This window comes from Homo sapiens, chromosome 6, assembly GCF_000001405.40.
Source record: "Homo sapiens chromosome 6, GRCh38.p14 Primary Assembly".
In the NCBI taxonomy this organism is placed as follows: domain Eukaryota; kingdom Metazoa; phylum Chordata; class Mammalia; order Primates; family Hominidae; genus Homo; species Homo sapiens.
In genome coordinates, this window is record NC_000006.12 from 675,590 (window position 1) to 693,465 (window position 17,876).

General features: G+C 43.3%; 1 protein-coding gene across 18 annotated transcripts in view, besides 5 other annotated features; it reads right to left on the reverse strand.

Annotated features, from left to right (window-relative positions):
• EXOC2 (exocyst complex component 2) overlaps positions 1-17,550 on the reverse strand; it is a 207,986-nt gene extending 190,436 nt beyond the window's left edge. For 8 of the 18 annotated variants that reach the window (XM_017011022.2, XM_017011023.2, NM_018303.6 and 5 more), the window contains exon 1: positions 17,430-17,550. The gene's annotated coding sequence lies outside the window, so the exon portion shown is untranslated. Of the gene's footprint in view, positions 1-13,549; positions 13,624-16,684 lie in introns of all 18 variants that reach the window. The other 10 variants (NR_073064.2, XM_047419008.1, XM_017011024.2 and 7 more) reach the window with 3 other exon arrangements.
• Positions 8,362-8,441: an enhancer, noted in NCBI's record as "active region_23857". NCBI's record gives its function as "activates an Ori minimal core promoter by ATAC-STARR-seq in GM12878 lymphoblastoid cells {active_cell/tissue: GM12878}" and the evidence as "EXISTENCE:reporter gene assay evidence [ECO:0000049][PMID:35858748]".
• Positions 9,201-9,280: an enhancer, noted in NCBI's record as "active region_23858". NCBI's record gives its function as "activates an Ori minimal core promoter by ATAC-STARR-seq in GM12878 lymphoblastoid cells {active_cell/tissue: GM12878}" and the evidence as "EXISTENCE:reporter gene assay evidence [ECO:0000049][PMID:35858748]".
• Positions 16,877-17,763: an enhancer, noted in NCBI's record as "H3K27ac-H3K4me1 hESC enhancer chr6:692466-693352 (GRCh37/hg19 assembly coordinates)". NCBI's record gives its function as "activates a minimal SCP1, AML or CMV promoter by ChIP-STARR-seq in naive H9 embryonic stem cells {active_cell/tissue: H9 hESC(naive)}" and the evidence as "EXISTENCE:reporter gene assay evidence [ECO:0000049][PMID:30033119]".
• Positions 17,170-17,239: a silencer, noted in NCBI's record as "silent region_16816". NCBI's record gives its function as "represses an Ori minimal core promoter by ATAC-STARR-seq in GM12878 lymphoblastoid cells {active_cell/tissue: GM12878}" and the evidence as "EXISTENCE:reporter gene assay evidence [ECO:0000049][PMID:35858748]".
• Positions 17,250-17,309: a silencer, noted in NCBI's record as "silent region_16817". NCBI's record gives its function as "represses an Ori minimal core promoter by ATAC-STARR-seq in GM12878 lymphoblastoid cells {active_cell/tissue: GM12878}" and the evidence as "EXISTENCE:reporter gene assay evidence [ECO:0000049][PMID:35858748]".

Genomic DNA, 17,876 nt, shown 5'->3' on the forward strand with positions numbered 1-17,876 from the left:
TCTGGCAACTGCGGTTCCCCATACTCTTCAGCATTACAGAAAGGACAGGTTCCTCTGGCGACTGCAGTTCCCCATACTCTTCAACATTACGGAAAGGACAGGTTCCTCTGGAGACTGCGGTTCCCCATACTCTTCAACATTACGGAAAGGACAGTTTCCTCTGGAGACTGCGGTTTCCCATACTCTTCAACATTACAGAAAGGATAGGTTCCTCTGGAGACTCTGAGGTTCCCCATACTCTTCAACATTACGGAAAGGACAGCTTTCTCTGGAGACTGCGGTTCCCCATACTCTTCAACATTACGGAAAGGACAGTTTCCTCTGGAGACTGCGGTTTCCCATACTCTTCAACATTACAGAAAGGACAGGTTCCTCTGGAGACTCTGAGGTTCCCCATACTCTTCAACATTACGGAAAGGACAGCCTCCTCTGGCAACTGCGGTTCCCCATACTCTTCAGCATTACAGAAAGGACAGGTTCCTCTGGCGACTGCGGTTCCCCATACTCTTCAACATTACGGAAAGGACAGGTTCCTCTGGAGACTCTGAGGTTCCCCATACTCTTCAACATTACGGAAAGGACAGGTTCCTCTGGAGACTGCGGTTCCCCATACTCTTCAACATTACGGAAAGGACAGGTTCCTCTGGAGACTGCGGTTCCCCATACTCTTCAACATTACGGAAAGGACAGGTTCCTCTGGAGACTCTGCGGTTCCCCATACTCTTCAACATTACGGAAAGGACAGGTTCCTCTGGTGACTCTGCGGTTCCCCATACTCTTCAACATTACGGAAAGGACAGGTTCCTCTGGTGACTCTGCGGTTCCCCATACTCTTCAACATTACGGAAAGGACAGGTTCCTCTGGTGACTCTGCGGTTCCCCATACTCTTCAACATTACGGAAAGGACAGGTTCCTCTGGTGACTCTGCGGTTCCCCATACTCTTCAACATTACGGAAAGGACAGGTTCCTCTGGAGACTCTGCGGTTCCCCATACTCTTCAACATTACGGAAAGGACAGGTTCCTCTGGTGACTCTGCGGTTCCCCATACTCTTCAACATTACGGAAAGGATAGGTTCCTCTGGTGACTCTGCGGTTCCCCATACTCTTCAACATTACGGAAAGGACAGGTTCCTCTGGAGACTGTGGTTTCCCATACTCTTCAGCATTACGGAAAGGACAGGTTCCTCGGGAGACTCTGCGGTTCCCCATACTCTTCAACATTACGGAAAGGACAGGTTCCTCTGGTGACTCTGCGGTTCCCCATACTCTTCAACATTACGGAAAGGACAGGTTCCTCTGGAGACTGCGGTTCCCCATACTCTTCAACATTACAGAAAGGACAGGTTCCTCTGAAGACTCTGCGGTTCCCCATACTCTTCAACATTACGGAAAGGACAGCTTTCTCTGGAGACTGCGGTTCCCCATACTCTTCAACATTACGGAAAGGACAGCTTTCTCTGGAGACTCTGCGGTTCCCCATACTCTTCAACATTACGGAAAGGACAGCTTTCTCTGGAGACTGCGGTTTCCCATACTCTTCAACATTACGGAAAGGACAGCTTTCTCTGGAGACTGCGGTTCCCCATACTCTTCAGCATTACGGAAAGGACAGGTTCCTCTGGAGACTCTGCGGTTCCCCATACTCTTCAACATTACGGAAAGGACAGGTTCCCCTGGCGACTCTGTGGTTTCCCATATTACACTTTATAGGGATTTTGACCCCTTCATTAGTGGGTTGAAGTTTTTGTGTTTAGTGCACAGTTAGCATTTGAGGTGGTATATGTAGGAATAAACATGGCTCTTGCCTTTATTTAAAATATTTTTCAATATAAAATCAGAAACAATACCAATTACATTAGGACACAACTAGCCATCAATCAACAGATAATATATCTTAGATATTAAGCAAACATTGATGACTTATTTTATCCAGGTACTTAATTTTTTTTTGAGATGGAGTCTGCCTCCTGGGTTCAAGCGATTCTCCTGCCTCAGCCTCCTGAGTAGCTGGGATAACAGGCGTGCACCACCATGCCTGACTAATTTTTGTATTTTTAGTAGAGATGGGGTTTCACCATGTTGGTCGGGCTGGTCTAAAATTCCTGACCTTGTGATCCGCTTGCCTCGGCCTCCCAAAGTGCTGGGATTACAGGCATGAGCCACTGCGCCCAGCCTTATCCAAGTACTTTTCTATGTTCTTGCCATGCAATAACTTTTAATCCTCAGAACTCTCCTATGAGGATGGCTCATTAAATACTTTGTCCAATACTCCACAACCAATAACTATCACAGCAGGAATCACACCTAGGCAGTTTGCATCAGGGGCTGTGCTTATAATCTCTCACACACACACACACACACACACACACACACTCTTCACGTTGTCACTCACATATGAAAAGGGTCCCCCAAAAGAACTGTTTTCCCCAAAGTGCCTCCCTCCCTGACCAGTTCTTCAGTGTGACCGTGAGCACGCAATGAGAGATGCTAACTGGCACGAAGGACATGACCAACAGTTTTTAATCAGTGCAAAGTGGATTGACCAATATGGGGTAAAGAACACTGGTGTCATTAACAGCACACTTTTGCCAGACAAATCAACTTGTTCAGCCATGGAGAGGGAGAAAAGACACTTAACCAAGAGTCAGAAGGCAGAAATTCAAATCCTAACTATATGATTTATTCAGGTCCCTTTAATTTCTATCAGTTTTCTCATCTTAAAATAGGAATAATAACTAATGTCACAGGAATCCTGTAAGGATTAAATGGAATCATGTGTACCAAAGATCTCTGCAAACTTTAAAGGCCAAAATAAAAGTAACCTAGTATTGCTACCATTCATGCATCAAAAACCAACTGTAAGTGAATTCGTGGGCCAGGTGCGTCATTAGCTGCGCTGACACGCCAGAGACTGGGTGAGCAACCTTCTAGGAGAATGGTCCTCAATTGTTTTAGGATAGAAAGTATTTTAATTAGAAAAAATAGAGAAACATTCTAAGATTTGTGCTGCATAACTTAAGAAAGATGAAAGCAGCAGGCAGAGAGGGCTGACACAATATAGTAACAGTACACAATCGTGATTACCTCCCAGAACCAGGGCATGGGGCTCCAGGGCAACAGGGGGAAGTGCTTCTTTAAAGCCACAGCACTGCACTACATAACACGGTGGGAAAATTCCAAACACTGATGATGGGCCGTAGTCAGGACAGCCAAAGATTAAGCTGAATTTTATTCTAAACAAACTACTGCTTTATTTTCTTGCCTCTTAATTTTTAGCATATTAACTCCAATCCCAGAAATGTTTCAGTTACACTCCAAAAGCATAATGTTCTTGCTTACATAACTTCAAACATCTATAGAGTTAAAGAATTCCTGGTGATGTAAAAAGTCAAATATACATATAATTTTAATTATATGTATATTAAAAAAACTAGAAGAACATAAAGTAAGTGTATATTACAGCTGTTGGGGTGGAAGGACAACATTTGGACTTGACAGAAAAATCACAACGGTGAACACACTAAGTTCCTAGCCATAAAGAAATATACATCTTCTATAAGTTAATAAATAAAAGATAAGAAATTTGAAAGCCAAACAGGAAGTCTGCAAATATATTCAAAATGTCAAAATACAAATAACTTTATTATATAAACAGCTCACAAAAATCAATCCAGAAAACACCAAGAGCTTCAAAAAAAAATTGAGAAGGTATAAGCTTACAGTTCACAAGAGAGGAGATGCAACCAACCAACGAACATAAAGACAAAACCCAACCTCAGAGAAACATCAACTAAAAGAGGTTCCACCGCTGGCCTATTAACAACACAAGATATTTAAGATGATCTCGAAGGCTCATAGTTGTCGGCTGAATCTGTACACAGCTCCCACGGATCGCTGGCAGCAGCACAACTGTTCCAATACTCTGAAAAATAATTCGGCCACGTGTCAAAGCCTTAGACATGCTTCCACAGTTTGACTCAAAATGTATTCTTGAAAAGTGAACAATGACTAAAATAATTCAAACCATGGGGATTGCTATTAGGCATGAAGATTCCCATAACTGCAAAAATGTATTACAGCAAGACGGGGAAAAAACGGAAACATCCACCAAAACATCCAGTAAAATGTAAAGGTTCAGTCAAGGAAACTATGCAGCCAGTGAAACATTATGAAAAACATGCGAAACCAAGAGAATACTTACAACAAATTAGCGAAATAGAAAGACATACGAATAAATAAATAGGCAGATAGGTATGAACAGACAGATGTACAGAAAAAGTTCCTAGAAGGAAGTATTCTAAAATGCCAAATGGTTTATTAACAAGGGTAGGATTATCAGAGATTCAATAGCTTGTCAAAAATCACAGCTATTAAGTGAAAGAGGTGGGATTCAAAACCAGACCCTTGCTCTATGCTATACTCCGGATGACTATTTTTTTTTTTATTTATTATGGAAATCTTAAACATACATAAGAGAGACTAGCATAAGGAACCTCCAAGTTCCCATCACCCAGCTTCAACATTCTGTGTCTTGTTTTAGCTGCCTCTCCCCTTCAACATACTTTCATGTTGTTTGTTGAGGGAGCTCTTTAAAGCATTGTATCATTTCATCCATAAATGACTTAGTTTGTACCTCTACAAATGACATTGCACCCAGCCCCAGGTCAATTTTTTCATATGGTCTAAAAGTTATTTTGCAGTTGATGTGTTAGAATCAGGACCCAATCAATGTTTCCATTTAAAAAAGAAGAACAAAAGCTACCTTTATACAAACAAGGGCCTATGCTTATATGAATACAGAGAAAGGGCTAGAAGGATGCACACCAGGGGTCAATTATCCTGAGAATGAGATTGGAGAAGGGTGGAGGGGCCAGGGAAATTGTGCCTTTAAATATTTTTACATTGCCTTCCCTGTGGCAATAAGCATGTATATACATGTTTTAGAAACGTAGGTAGGCCTTAGACCACACAGAATAGCCCACTTCCAGAGCCCTGCAGGGCAGCTGCTGGCTGGAGATCCAGGCAGCAGAGGGTCTCCTTAAGAACGCTGACCACATGAGGCTTCCTCTTGGCAGCTCTGAGTTATATGCATTTTTTTGGGCTGGGGGTGGTGCTCATTTCTCCTGTAAATTAACTATCTTAAGAAAGTGATTATAACAAATGATAGTATCCTTTACATTAAAGAAAAAGGGATGAAAAAAAGTTACTGTGCCAAGCTCTCTGCCAGCAATCTTCAGTGGGCTTGCCTGGGCTTGTCATCATATTCTTTCTTCACTCTAGTGTCTAGTCCAGTGCCAGACACTCAGTGAAACGGTGGCCGGGCTGACCAGATCTGGGGATGCACGGGCTCTTCTTTCATCTCCTCAACAACAGCAGCAGAGACCTCAAAAGGCTGTGTGAAATTCCTGCCATAAGAAGCTATAAGATGCGGCTTCTGAGAGGGGTGTCAGCTAGATTTGTTTCACAGGACAGATGCCATTCCTTGATTCTGTACTGTGTGCCATGCACTGTCTTTTAAACCAATAAATCTGGTCACAAGAGCAACTGCCAAAACCACTATAAAACCTGAGTGCCCTAATTACATCCTAAAAGGTCACAATCAACCTGTGACAGCTCCTCCTGATCTTCAATACAATTCATGCTAAGGAAAACAATCAGATAAATCCAAATTAACCAAACATCTAAGCAGAACAACTCCTTTTCTATCGGTCACCTCTGGGTGACAAGAGGTCCAGTTCAAATCTGACCTTTAACTGAAAGGTCCAAGAGGTGAAAAGTTTGATATTCTATTACTGCTTCCACACAGAATTACACGAAAACCAGAAATTCTAATTTGTAGGTGCAGATCTTTAATGCTGTGTCTCCTTTCTCCCCCCACCAAAGAAGTATTTTAAATGTTTAAACCAAAATGAGTTTTGCCCCTAATAAATTTTAAAATATTACTAAGATATTTATAATGAAAGTTACCAGAGAAACTTGTTTTTCAACTATCCTTTAGTCCTATAAAAACTAGGCCAAAACTCATTTAAGCTTGATTTTTCCATTTAAAAAATCCAGCCATAAAAGAGAATGGGATAGTACTGAGAATATATAAAACAATTCTAACTTTTCAGTTCTAATGAAAAGTGCAAATAAAGGTAGTAATCTTTTTCTTAAAGATAACCTTGTTTTCACAGAAATGCACTTGGAAATAGGGTTTTTAAAGTGCTGTCAAGGTACTGTGGTTCTACAGATACTTTGCTTCTCTGCCCTTGCAAGAGAATCAACTGCTCTGGAGGATAATTCCCCCTTTAGTTACCAGAGAGCAAAACCCTGGTCCTTTTCCTGCTCACTGCTAACTCCTGGAGGATTTTGCCCAGTAAAAGCTAAGGTAGAAATGGAGGGAATCTGTTCAGTCAGGATTTATTCATTTAGAGTTCTACATCGAATTTTAAACAACCAATTAGCACCGGCATTGGTGAAACTCCAGAAGGGCTGGGAACAGGAACCTGCATGACACAGCACTGCAGAAAAGTGCTGGTGACTAACAGCCAGTCACACATAGGGCACTTCTATCCAACACAAGCCTTGACCATTCCGCAGTTCCTATTAAATATTTCCCAGTTTCTTTTTTTTTTTTTTTTTTGAGACGGAGTCTCGCTCTGTCACCCATGCTGGAGTGCAGTGGCAGGATCTGGGGTCACTGCAAGCTCTGCCTTCCGGGTTCATGCCATTCTCCTGCCTCAGCCTCCCGAATAGCTGGGACTACAGGCAACCACTACCACGCCCGGCTAATTTTTTTGTATTTTTAGTAGAGACAGGGTTTCTCTGTGTTAGCCAGGATGGTCTAGATCTCCTGACCTCGTGATCTGCCCGCCTTGGCCTCTCAAAGTGCTGGGATTACAGGTGTGAGCCACCGCGCCCGGCCCCGAGTTTCTAAAATACAAGTTCATTTCCACACATGATTACTTAACTATAACCATCATTTATCAGTATTTTTTCCTCTCTCTCTCTCTCCAAAGAATTTTCACTTCCTAGGTAAAAGTCATACAGTAATGACTAACAATATTATGCATATATTATGTCATAATTGACATAAAAGGCCACATATATGATTCCACTTATATGAAAGTTCAGAATAAGTAAATCCATGGATGCAGAAAGTGGGAAAGGATTGATAATGGATTCAGGGTTTTCTCCGGGTGTGATGAAACTGTTCTGGACTTAGATAATGGTGATGGTTGTACAACTTTGTGAATAACTGTGCTTCAGAATTCCTCTGAGCATTAGTTTAACATCATTAGCACCATAAACACAGAACCCCAAAAAACTGAACACAAAAAGAAATACAGGATGGTATCATTTTTTAAAAAGTGCCCAACATGACTAAATTCCTGAAGTCTGATTCCAGATCAGTTGAGGCAAAGGTACACCAGGGCGAGGAGTGAAAAGGTACCAGGAGGGTAGGAGAAAGCTTTACCCTCGCAGTGATGGAAACAGAGCTCAGGTACTGAAACCCAGGGTGAAGAGTAGCAAATAAAGCAGCAGAACAACTCCAAGCTAAACAGACTGACCTTGCGGGAAGATGTGAGTGGCCTAGACTTTCTAATCCTTGACAAACATCAACACCACCAACTCCATTCCAGCAAGACTGCCAGGAAGACATGAAAATAAAGAAGCTAAACAATGCAAAATCCCAAGTGATATCAAGAGTCTACATATGTTTATTCAAATAACAAAATACTTGACCATCTCAACAATAATGTTCAGGAATGAGAGAGGAACAAAATCAAGAAAATATTACTAAGCTATTCATAATGAAAGGATTGGATAAAAAGATATTCTCCTAAATTTATACTACTACATAAAAACAAAGTTTCATTTGTCTCGACTTGTCAAATCTTTAGGATGAAATAAACCAATATCACCGCTGACAAATATAATAACTATGGTAAACAGGCATGCCAAAATCAATGCAGAGTTTCAGAAAAGGTCAAGAAACCAACCGTCAGCTTAAATTGGTTAATTTCATTAAAACTGTTAAACATGACAGGATGTCGCTAACTCCCAGGTTCTTTTATATGAGCAAAGTTGGATTAATTTGACCCAAATTTTGTATAATAGCTTTTCCAATTTCCAAAAATACATCAACTTTGTCACTGATCTTACAAATTCTGCTTTCCTTCTCTAGCTCTATCTCAAAAGAAGCTTCTCGAAGGCCATAAATCTTGACATAGTGAAAGCAAAATAATCACAGCACTCAACAGTGCCGTTAACATTTCTGAGCCGTGAGGGATTAAGCAGGCAGATGCTATGGAAAGTGCCTGTCAGGAAAGGACAGCCCAGAGTTCAGAACGCACCGCAGCTGCGAAGGATTGAAGCTGCTAGCTATGGAATCAAGCTCAGGAGAAACTCTGGGCACAATTCCGGCATCCGAAATAAATTAAAGTAAACAGTGTTGCTCTCTCTCTCATCCACCCTGTTAGCAGCCTCTCGGCTGAGCGGGAGACCACACACTCGGACCACACAGCGCCAGCTGAACTCCCTCGCACGCAACATCTACAAGCTGTCACTCTGCAGCAGCCCAGAGAGGGAGAAGGATGAGGTTAGGGAGGGGGAGACAGGACCGCAGGAAGAGGGGGAGGGGAGACAGGAGAGTCTTCCCTATGTGCAGCTGGAGAGAGTGATGTGTGGTTTAGAGAAGGGGGAGGGGTGGAATCCATAAACCTCCCTGAGAAAACAAGCTGGTCATGGCCTTGTGTAGTCTTGACCTGTACTCCCCCATACCAATTTAGTAGCTGATGAAGGATTAACAAAGCATCCATTTAACATCAATTAACCTCCTATCCATCACAGGTCAAAAGAGAAAATTACTATTACAAAAGCATTTCACTAAAATCAAGACAAAAGGCCACATTTTCTTACAATTTATACTGTACACTTAAGTAAATACATTTTCCTTATAGATATACTATATTAATTTTAAACCATCTGCCTCTTTTCCTTTAATGAAGCATACAGGGATGGATTTAAAGTGTTTTCTGCAACAGAAGTCAGAAAATTTTAATTCTATAATTTTCCCATATTTAATTTCTCAAATTAAAACTGTGGCACAATTTTAATTTTCCAAAATATTTACTACTAGAAAAAAAGACAGTAAGTTGTCATTTTTCACAGAACTTCAGACTAAAAATACACAGAAAAAGTTAGCAGTAATAATATAAAGAAAAAAATCAGAAATGAAACCACAACTGAAAGTAGTTTTAGAATCATAAAAGCAGTACTTTTTACTATTTAGTAATGAAGAGTTTCGCTGATTTCAACAGCAGACAAGAAATCTGAACAAAATGAGTGATCACGGTCTCACCTTGTCATGCTCCCAGATGTTCTTCTCAGCTAGAGAAGGCCAGGAACCAGAAAAATACAGAAGTTCTGACTCACTGAAGACTAGGATAACCTCTACTCAACAGGCCACGGAAGGCCTCATGATGTGAAAACACTATTTCGCTAACAGATCAGACTATAGAAAGGTGATTTTCCCCACAATCATTTGAAAACACACACACACACACACACACACAACCCTCCCAAACGTCCACCCTTCCCCATATATGCCTCAACCTGGCAGCACTGGCATCACCAGGGAACAAATCAAGCAGAATCTCAGTAGCCTTAGCTGTCCAGAACCACTTTGGGTCCAGAGGACCCCAGAAGAATCCTGTTGCAGAGCTGCCTAGTGAGTTTCAACAGTAAAATTAGGCTCAGCCAACTCTCAGGGCACCATAAAATATAATCAAAGTAGAGAATTCACCAAATCTTTCTAGAGTCAGGCCCAACCTAACCTAAGACAGACTTGTCCCTGCTGGGCTGGGTTGGGCTGGACCCAAAGGGATTGCCCAGAGATATTGGGGAAAGGGTTCGGGAAAATGGTGATTTTCTTCCCCAGTTCTCTATAAACACAGACTCCACACTTCCTGAGTGAGATCAAGTGCAAGTTACATTAGCACTGCCACAAATTCTACCATATAACAGCACACAGTGGGACAAGTCTCAGAGACAGGGTCATGAACTCTGTAATCCAGTTTTCCAAATTAATCCTCTTGCTCCTCCTGCTCCATCCCCAAATCATAGTTAACAAAAATACAAGCATGCACAGATCTGAAAGAACTCATAGGGGCCAAATTGTATAGAGTTACGGCCTGATAAGGGCAGAAGACTCGCTGGGTCTCAGAAGGGCCATTTGCAGAAGGGGAGGACTGAACAGGTAAGAAGTAATGTATCCTGCTTTCCTGGACCTCTTTTTTTTTTTTTTTTTTTTTTTTGAGACGGAGTCTTGCTCTGTCGCCAGGTTGGACTGAACAGGTAAGAAGTAATGTATTAATGTATCCTGCTTTCCTGGACCTCTTTTTTTTTTTTTTGAGACGGAGTTTTACTCTGTCACTAGGCTGAAGTGCAGTGGGGCTCACTGCAACCTCCGACTCCTTGGTTCAAGCGATTCTCCTGCCTCAGCCTCCCAAGTAGCTGGGATTACAGGCATGCGCCACCATGCCCAGCTAATTTTTTTGTATTTTTAGTAGAGACGGGGTTTCATCATATTGGCCAGGATGGTCTCAAACTCCTGACCTCATGATTCGCCCTCCTCGGCCTCCCAAAGTGCTGGGATTACAGGTGTGAGCCGCCGCGCCCGGCCTCCTGGACCTCTTTTTATACTTCTTTTCCTTCTCTACCTCTACAAACAAAAAAATACATGAACTACTATCTATGGTTTCAAATGAAAGCATATTTGTTTATATTTTAATTCTTTTGGGAAAATAATCCAATAATTTAAACCATATAACTGATAAATGACACTTGATTTTTATTTATTTATTTTAGGAATGGGAATAAAGGCCTTCCCTCCCTCTACAATGTTTGGAGGTGAGAGATTAAGGGGACGAGAATGTGCATGAGATGACTAGGAAGGAATACTGGAAGCCAGACAAGTATATAGGGAATGCCTGACAACTTAGCTCTCAGAGCCCCCATAAAAGAGATCTGTTATATATATACCGGATTACTCAGCTGTTCTCATAAAACAAGCACTGGATTCTATCTTAATTGGAAAAGTTACTTAGAGGTCTGCTTTATTCCCCCAGGAACCATAAAGCCCTCTGCCTTAGCATGCCATGTCTCCTCCTAGAGGACAAGGACTGTCACTATGTTGCACAGGGAAAGGCTGCAGGTCTAAAGGTGACTGGACTTCCAACCGATGCCACTGGACATTGATGACATGTCAAAAATGAACCAGGCCAGTGCAAATTCATCCCCCTCCATCCACCCCCAACAAATAAATGAAGACAAAAACTTCAAAGAAGATACACTACTTAATAGGAAAACAAAAGAGTTTCATACAAGAGCACAGCATTATTTATTCACAAATCTATTGCCAGTAGTACCCAATGCCCTACTACTCTTATTAGATCTATATGCATAGATAAAAACAGTAAGTCTTAGTATTTTAGGAAGTATAGTTTTTCAGAAAAAAAGATGTCAGGGTTTTATTTTCCCAGAAAGACAGATCACCTGAACAAGATTGAAGAAGTCATTATCAAATAATATTCTTTTTTTTTTTTTTTTTTTTTTTGAGACAGGGTCTCACTCAGTCACCCAGGCTGCTGGAGTGCAGTGGTGCAATCATAGCTCACTGCAGCCTCAGGTGATCCAGGCTCAAGTGATCCTCCCACTTCAGCCTCCTGAGTAACTGGGACCACAGACATGTACCACCACACTCGGCTAACTTTTTTCTAATTTTTGTAGAAAAGGGGCCTCATTATGTTGCCCAGGCTGGTCTCAAACTCCTGGGCTCAAGCTATCCTTCCACCTCGGCCTCTCAAAGTGCTGGGATTACAGGCACTGAGCCACTGAACTTATCCTCAAATAATATTTATTTGTATCTTTACCTAGTCCGTCAAGATGATTTGCGATACAATGACTAGTCACCCAGATCCTCAAAAGATGACAGTATTGGACTCCTATACCCCAGAAAAACAGAAAAACTAGGGCTGTGAAAAGGAAACATCCTTGGATTTATTCAGTCAAATAAATGTTTATTATACACTTGCTATGTCCCAGGCATTACCCTGAAGAAATGACAGGAACAAGATTTTGTGACCAGAAGCTCAAGAATGACTTTGGCCTTCAGGAGAGTGATCGTAGCTGAAACCAGACAGCACTGGGATGGGTGAGAAGTTGGCTACAAACAACTATTTTAAGAAATGTGGCAGGAAAGTGAAAAAGAGAGGAATTTTAAAAGGGCAATGTGAAATCAAGGGAGGATTCTAGTTTTTTCTGTTTTACTTTATTCTTGTCTGTCTCTAAGCATGTATAAAGGCCAACAGAAGGAAGGCTTTAGTAAGACATGAACACCTGAGTGAAGTCCTCACAAAGGCGGGGTAGATGGGATCCACAGCCCAGGTAGGAGATTGGTCTTAGCATAAATACAACCTCTTCCACTGTGACTGGGGAGGAGGAACAGTTTTTGGCAGGAAGCCCCTGCGATTCTCCACTTACATCTCTTTCATTTATGATGTAGGTGGCAAGACCGCTTGCTAAGAGTGTGTGTAAATGATGTGAAAGGATGAAAGGTTCGAAAAGCGTGAAAATGCTGAAAAGTACATTCTGCAGAGATAAGAAGCGGGTACTGATGAGGAAAATTCTGGAAGATTCCTTGATGGCCCAGCTGAGCTGGTGACCATGGATTTATAGGGGCACAGATCTGGATACTGTGATTTTCCCCAGCTGGCCCCAGCAACTCAGGTCAAGCATTACAGGAGGCAGAGAGTTGAGACTGCCCAAGGCTGAGAAGCTGCCAGGCAGATGCTACAGAACAACAACGATACAACTGAGCACACTGGCATGACAGTGACTGAAGATCACAGAAGCGCCTGATAGATGCAGTGGGGGTGAGTGAGACTGAGAAAGTTGAGGGACTATAAGCAAACAGTGGGAGGCCTGCACTTTGGATTTCAGAAGTGGACCAGTTCCAACACTGAGGCAGTTCGGTGTTACTCTTCCAGCCCCCAGCACTACTTCTCTGGCAACAGTCGGATCCTCCTCCAGACAGCCCTACTTTCTCCTTCTGTCCTTTCTGGTTACTGTTAGCTTCCCTTTGCTCCTCACCACTCCTTGTATATTCCCTAATCCCCTCTGCACCTTTCTTCATTTGAGCTATCTGGCATGACTTCTGATTCCTGCTGAGACATACATCATTATCATTCACATGGGGTTTTCATTAAAATTAAACTAAAGCCAAACATGGCCTTTTGTCTCGTTTTGTCTTTTGCTAAAATTATAATACAATGAAAGTTAAATCATATGCCCTCCAAAATCACAAACCTTTAAAATGAGAAAAGGCCTTTAAAAATTCATCCATGCTTACAAATGAAACGAAGGGGCAGCCTTGTGCAAAGTGGCACTGTTAGCAAGCAGTAAAGGGAAAAAAGCCTTCAACGCTGCACTTGTCACTGAGTGCTTAAGATGTGCCGGGCACTAGTCTTGAAGCTCTCTGGATCCACCCTGAGCAGCTCACCTTCTCCTAAGCTGAAATCCAGTCTTCCCCAGTCCTGTGTCCAGTGTTCGTTCCATTATTGGCACCAAGATTTACTGTGGAAAATATTACATAGAAAAACTGATAAACCCAAAAACAAAAATAAAGCAAACTGGATGATGTATTTTTAATCTGAAATGCTACCAAGGGAATTAAGGTAAAGGATGTTCAGGAAGCTTTTGAGCTGGCCTAATAAAACTTTCCAGGAAAAACAAACAACAAAAAAGAACTGTCTAACAAATCAGTTCCAAACTCTTCTGCCTGTCAGTCAAGGCACTCCACCCATAATCCAAAATGCACTCACTTACCAGCCCCTGGGCCTTTGCTCCTGGTATGCAGCCCAGGTGTTCACACGCCTTCCTTCATCAAGCTCTTATCATCAAAGCTTCCCAATTACTCTAGCCCCAACGGATCCTTCCTACCTCTGAGCTTCTGCTGGACTTACACTCAATACTACAGAGTTTAGTTCTTAGCTATTCTTTAATTGAGAGGGCAAAAATACCCCTTATGAATCCAGGCTAATATTATTTGATTTTTAATATATGTGTCAGGCATACAGTAAGACTGGAAGATACAAAAATAATTAAAACTAATCCCGATCCAGAATGAGCTTAGTCTTTTACTGGTGTATGTAAACACCATTAATAATATTGTCCCTAACACAACACAAGTGCTATAAGACAAGTGCTAGGTGGTTATAGGATTCACTGAGTTGGAAAATTTCAAGGCAGGAAGGATTTCAGAGATAATCTAACTGCATGTATTCTCTGAATACACAAAAAAGGAAACAGTCCAAAGCATCTAAGCAACTCAGCCAGTACTATGAAGCAGACCAGATTAGACCAAGGACCAGTGTATAGTTGCTTTGACGCCTAAGCCAAAAATACCTTTTGACTCTGTGATTTTCAAATTGAGATCAGCCAGGCACAGTGGGTCACACCTATAGTCCCAGCACTGGGAAGCTGAGGCCAGCGCATCACTTGCATTCAGGAGTTCAAGACCAGCCTGGGCAACGTAGGAAGACCTCACCTCCACAAATAATTTTTAAAATGAGCCGAACCCGGTGGCACGCACCTATAGTCCCAGCTACTTGGGAGGCTGAGGTAGAAGGATTTCTGGAATCATGGCGCTCAAGGCTGCAGTGTGTTGTGACTGTGCCACTGCACTCTAGCCTGGGTGACAGAACAAGACCCCCTTTCAATCAATAAACAAACTGAGATTGAAGGATGCCGATGCGTGTGTCACCCATCGCTTTAAGATTCATAATTTCCCGGCCCGGCGCAGGGGTTCACGCCTGTAATCCCAGCACTCTGGGAGGCCGAGGTGGGTGGATCACGAGGTCCACCGTCACGAGGATCGCGACGGTGAAACCCCGTCTCTACTAAAAATACAAAAAGTTAGTCGGGCGTGGTGACGGGCGCCTGTAGTCCCAGCTACTTGGGAGGCTGAGGCGGCAGAATGGCGTGAACCCGGGAGGCAGAGCTTGCACTGAGCAGAGATCTCGCCACTGTACTTCAGCCTAGGCAACAGGGTGAGACTCTGTCTTTAAAAATACAAAAAAGATTCATAATTTCATTACAATTACTTTTAAGTTTGTGTATTCATATCAATAATAATTTTTGACTAATATAAACATACTCTAAAGCATATGATTAGAAGTCCACACTATCACCATGTGATTTCAGCAGGCAGTCCAGAAGGTCCAAGAACATATTCCCCAGGATCTGAGTACAATCAACATCCTAGTACACCGCTTAGCAGAGTGATCAATGAATGTTATTTCCCAGTTTCAAAATCCTCTCAACAGTGACCTAAAATTCATCCATTCAATAAACATTTAAGCACCTACTATGTGGCAGACGCTGGACTAGGAACCCAGGCTGGATTAAGATGCGTAAACTGGAGAATGAGTGGAAAAGTAACTGAGAGGACACCTCTGTAACCAGCACTTCCTGTATGGCCTAATCTTGCTGCTGCTTGACACTAGAAATATTAAAAGTTCTTTGCTAGAAGACTATTTTTTCAGTACCAACTTCATTTCCCATATGATTCTTACATAATGGGCTCCCAAGAACTTAGCAAGTTAATAACCATCTTTTAGAAAAGTAATACAGTTGACCCTTAAGCAACATGGGTTTGAATGAGACAGATCCACTTATACACGGATTTTTTCAACAAAAGTTGCACTGAGTGTGCCTGCATCTCCCACTCCCCTTTCACTTCCTCCATCTCTTCCATCTCTGCCATTCCTGAGAAAATCCCTCCTCTTCTTCCTCCTCCACAATCTACTCATGCAGACTATGGGGATAATAACCTTCATGATTCTCCACTTTCATTTAAAGAAGAGTAAATACATTTGTTGTGATTTTAACATTTTCCTCTCTCAGCTTACTTTAAGAATACAGTATATAATACGTATAACATACAAAATACATGTAAGTCAACTGTTTATGTATCAGTAAGGCTTCTGGTCAACAGTAGGCTATTAGTAAAGTCCTGGGAAAGTCAAAAGTTACATGGAAATTTTTGACTGCGTGGGCACCCCTAACCCCAGTGTTGTTCAAGGGTCAACTGTAGTTCAAAATGGCATTCAATACAGGAAATTAAATACTTGACAAGAAAAAAAGATCACTTTCTAAAACTTCCAAGAGTTGGTCCAAGTCACACTGGGGGAACTCTGCTTCTCTGCTTTAATTTATTAAGTTTCTACTTAGACAAACAAGTGAACATGTAAGTACTAAGCACACATCACCCTCTTTCTATTACTACTCTGGGAATCGCCAACTTTTAGCACAAAAAAATCATCTTTGAGAAGATTCTGGCTTTCAGTTGATTTGTCATTAAAGGAGTCAGTTACACAAAGCATGGGCCAGTACATACTAACATTCATAAACAAAACATTATTATGCATTAGAAGACAGATCCACATAAGCTCAGAAGTAACTTTTCAATATTGCATAGTGCACACAAAAAGATTTAATTAAAGTGTGGCTAACTTAGAAAAAATATTTTTTAAGTGTTCCTTGTAAGTTTACTCACAGATTCATAAAGGCATCAGACTTAAAATTTCTCAGACTTATTAGTATGTTGACCTTTGGCAGATTAAAAATAACTTACTTCCATTCAAAGACGAGTTCTTTCAAGAACTATTTCTCGGAATTACTAAAGTGTTTTCTTAACAATCTTGGGATACAGGGTTACGCATCACCAGGCTTCCAGGCTGCTGGTGTGCGGACCTGGAGCCGGCGCGCAAGGTCTCAATGGCAGCTACAACAGGACCTCAGGCTCTTTGCTCAAGCACTCTGAGCCGCCGCTCCCCTATCCGTAAAATGGGTCACACGGCAGCGTACATACACCCGCGCGAGGATCAAGTACGTGCACGCAAACGCTGACAACAGCGGCAGGCGCCTTTTAAGCGCTCAGGACAGCCAGAGCGGGATGCACGCCTAGGCAGACAGGTAACACCCGCCTCGCGTTCACTTTTCCGGAGAAATTCTCAAATCTCACGGAGTGGCAACTGCGCAAGGGCGAAGCGGCGCAGTCTGGGGCCAGCTCCAGCGGGCGGGGCCTGGAGTCAGCCCTCTGCAGCCCACGCCCCTCACCGGCGCAGGTGGGGACCGCGGGGGTGCGAACTGGCGGGGGTGGGCGCGGAGCCCAGCAGGCGGCTGACGGCGGGGATGGGGGCTGCGGGGCTGGGAACCGCGGGGGGTCGCGGGGCCCCGCAGGTGACCGACGGCGCCAGTGGGCGCGGCTGTCCCTTCACCGCTGAGGCCTGGACGGACGCCGCAGGCGGCCACCTCCGTGCAGCTGACGTCCATGTCCCGCTGGCCTTCGGCCAGGCCCTCCAGCCTCCCACACATACCTCCAGCCGTCCTGCCGCAGCTCACGGCCGGCACAGACAGGGCCCGGTAGGTCTCGCCGAAGACTCCGCGGCCGCCAGCCGCCGGCACCTCACTTCCGCCCGCCGCGAGCGCCGAGCGTGTAGATCCGCCTGGCAGTCGAGCGCCGAGTCCTCGATGGGCGGAGCCTTCAGGGGAGGGTAGAGGAGGGGAGGAGACCGGCGCGGGTGCTGGAGGTCAGCAGGGGCCGTGGGCGGTGGACGCTGGAATGCCTTGGGTTCCGAGGGACCCAGCTGCCTGAATGGACACGAGTAGGAGGTTTTTGCTGGGCGTCTTTGCGGTGGCGGGAAGCGGTGAGGGAGGGAAAGAAGGATACAAGCTCAAGGGGCAGGCCGGGTGCACCATCCATCCCCGTGCCCTCGGGTCATCTCAGGGAGACTGTGGGATGATAGTGCGTTTGTGGGCCACAG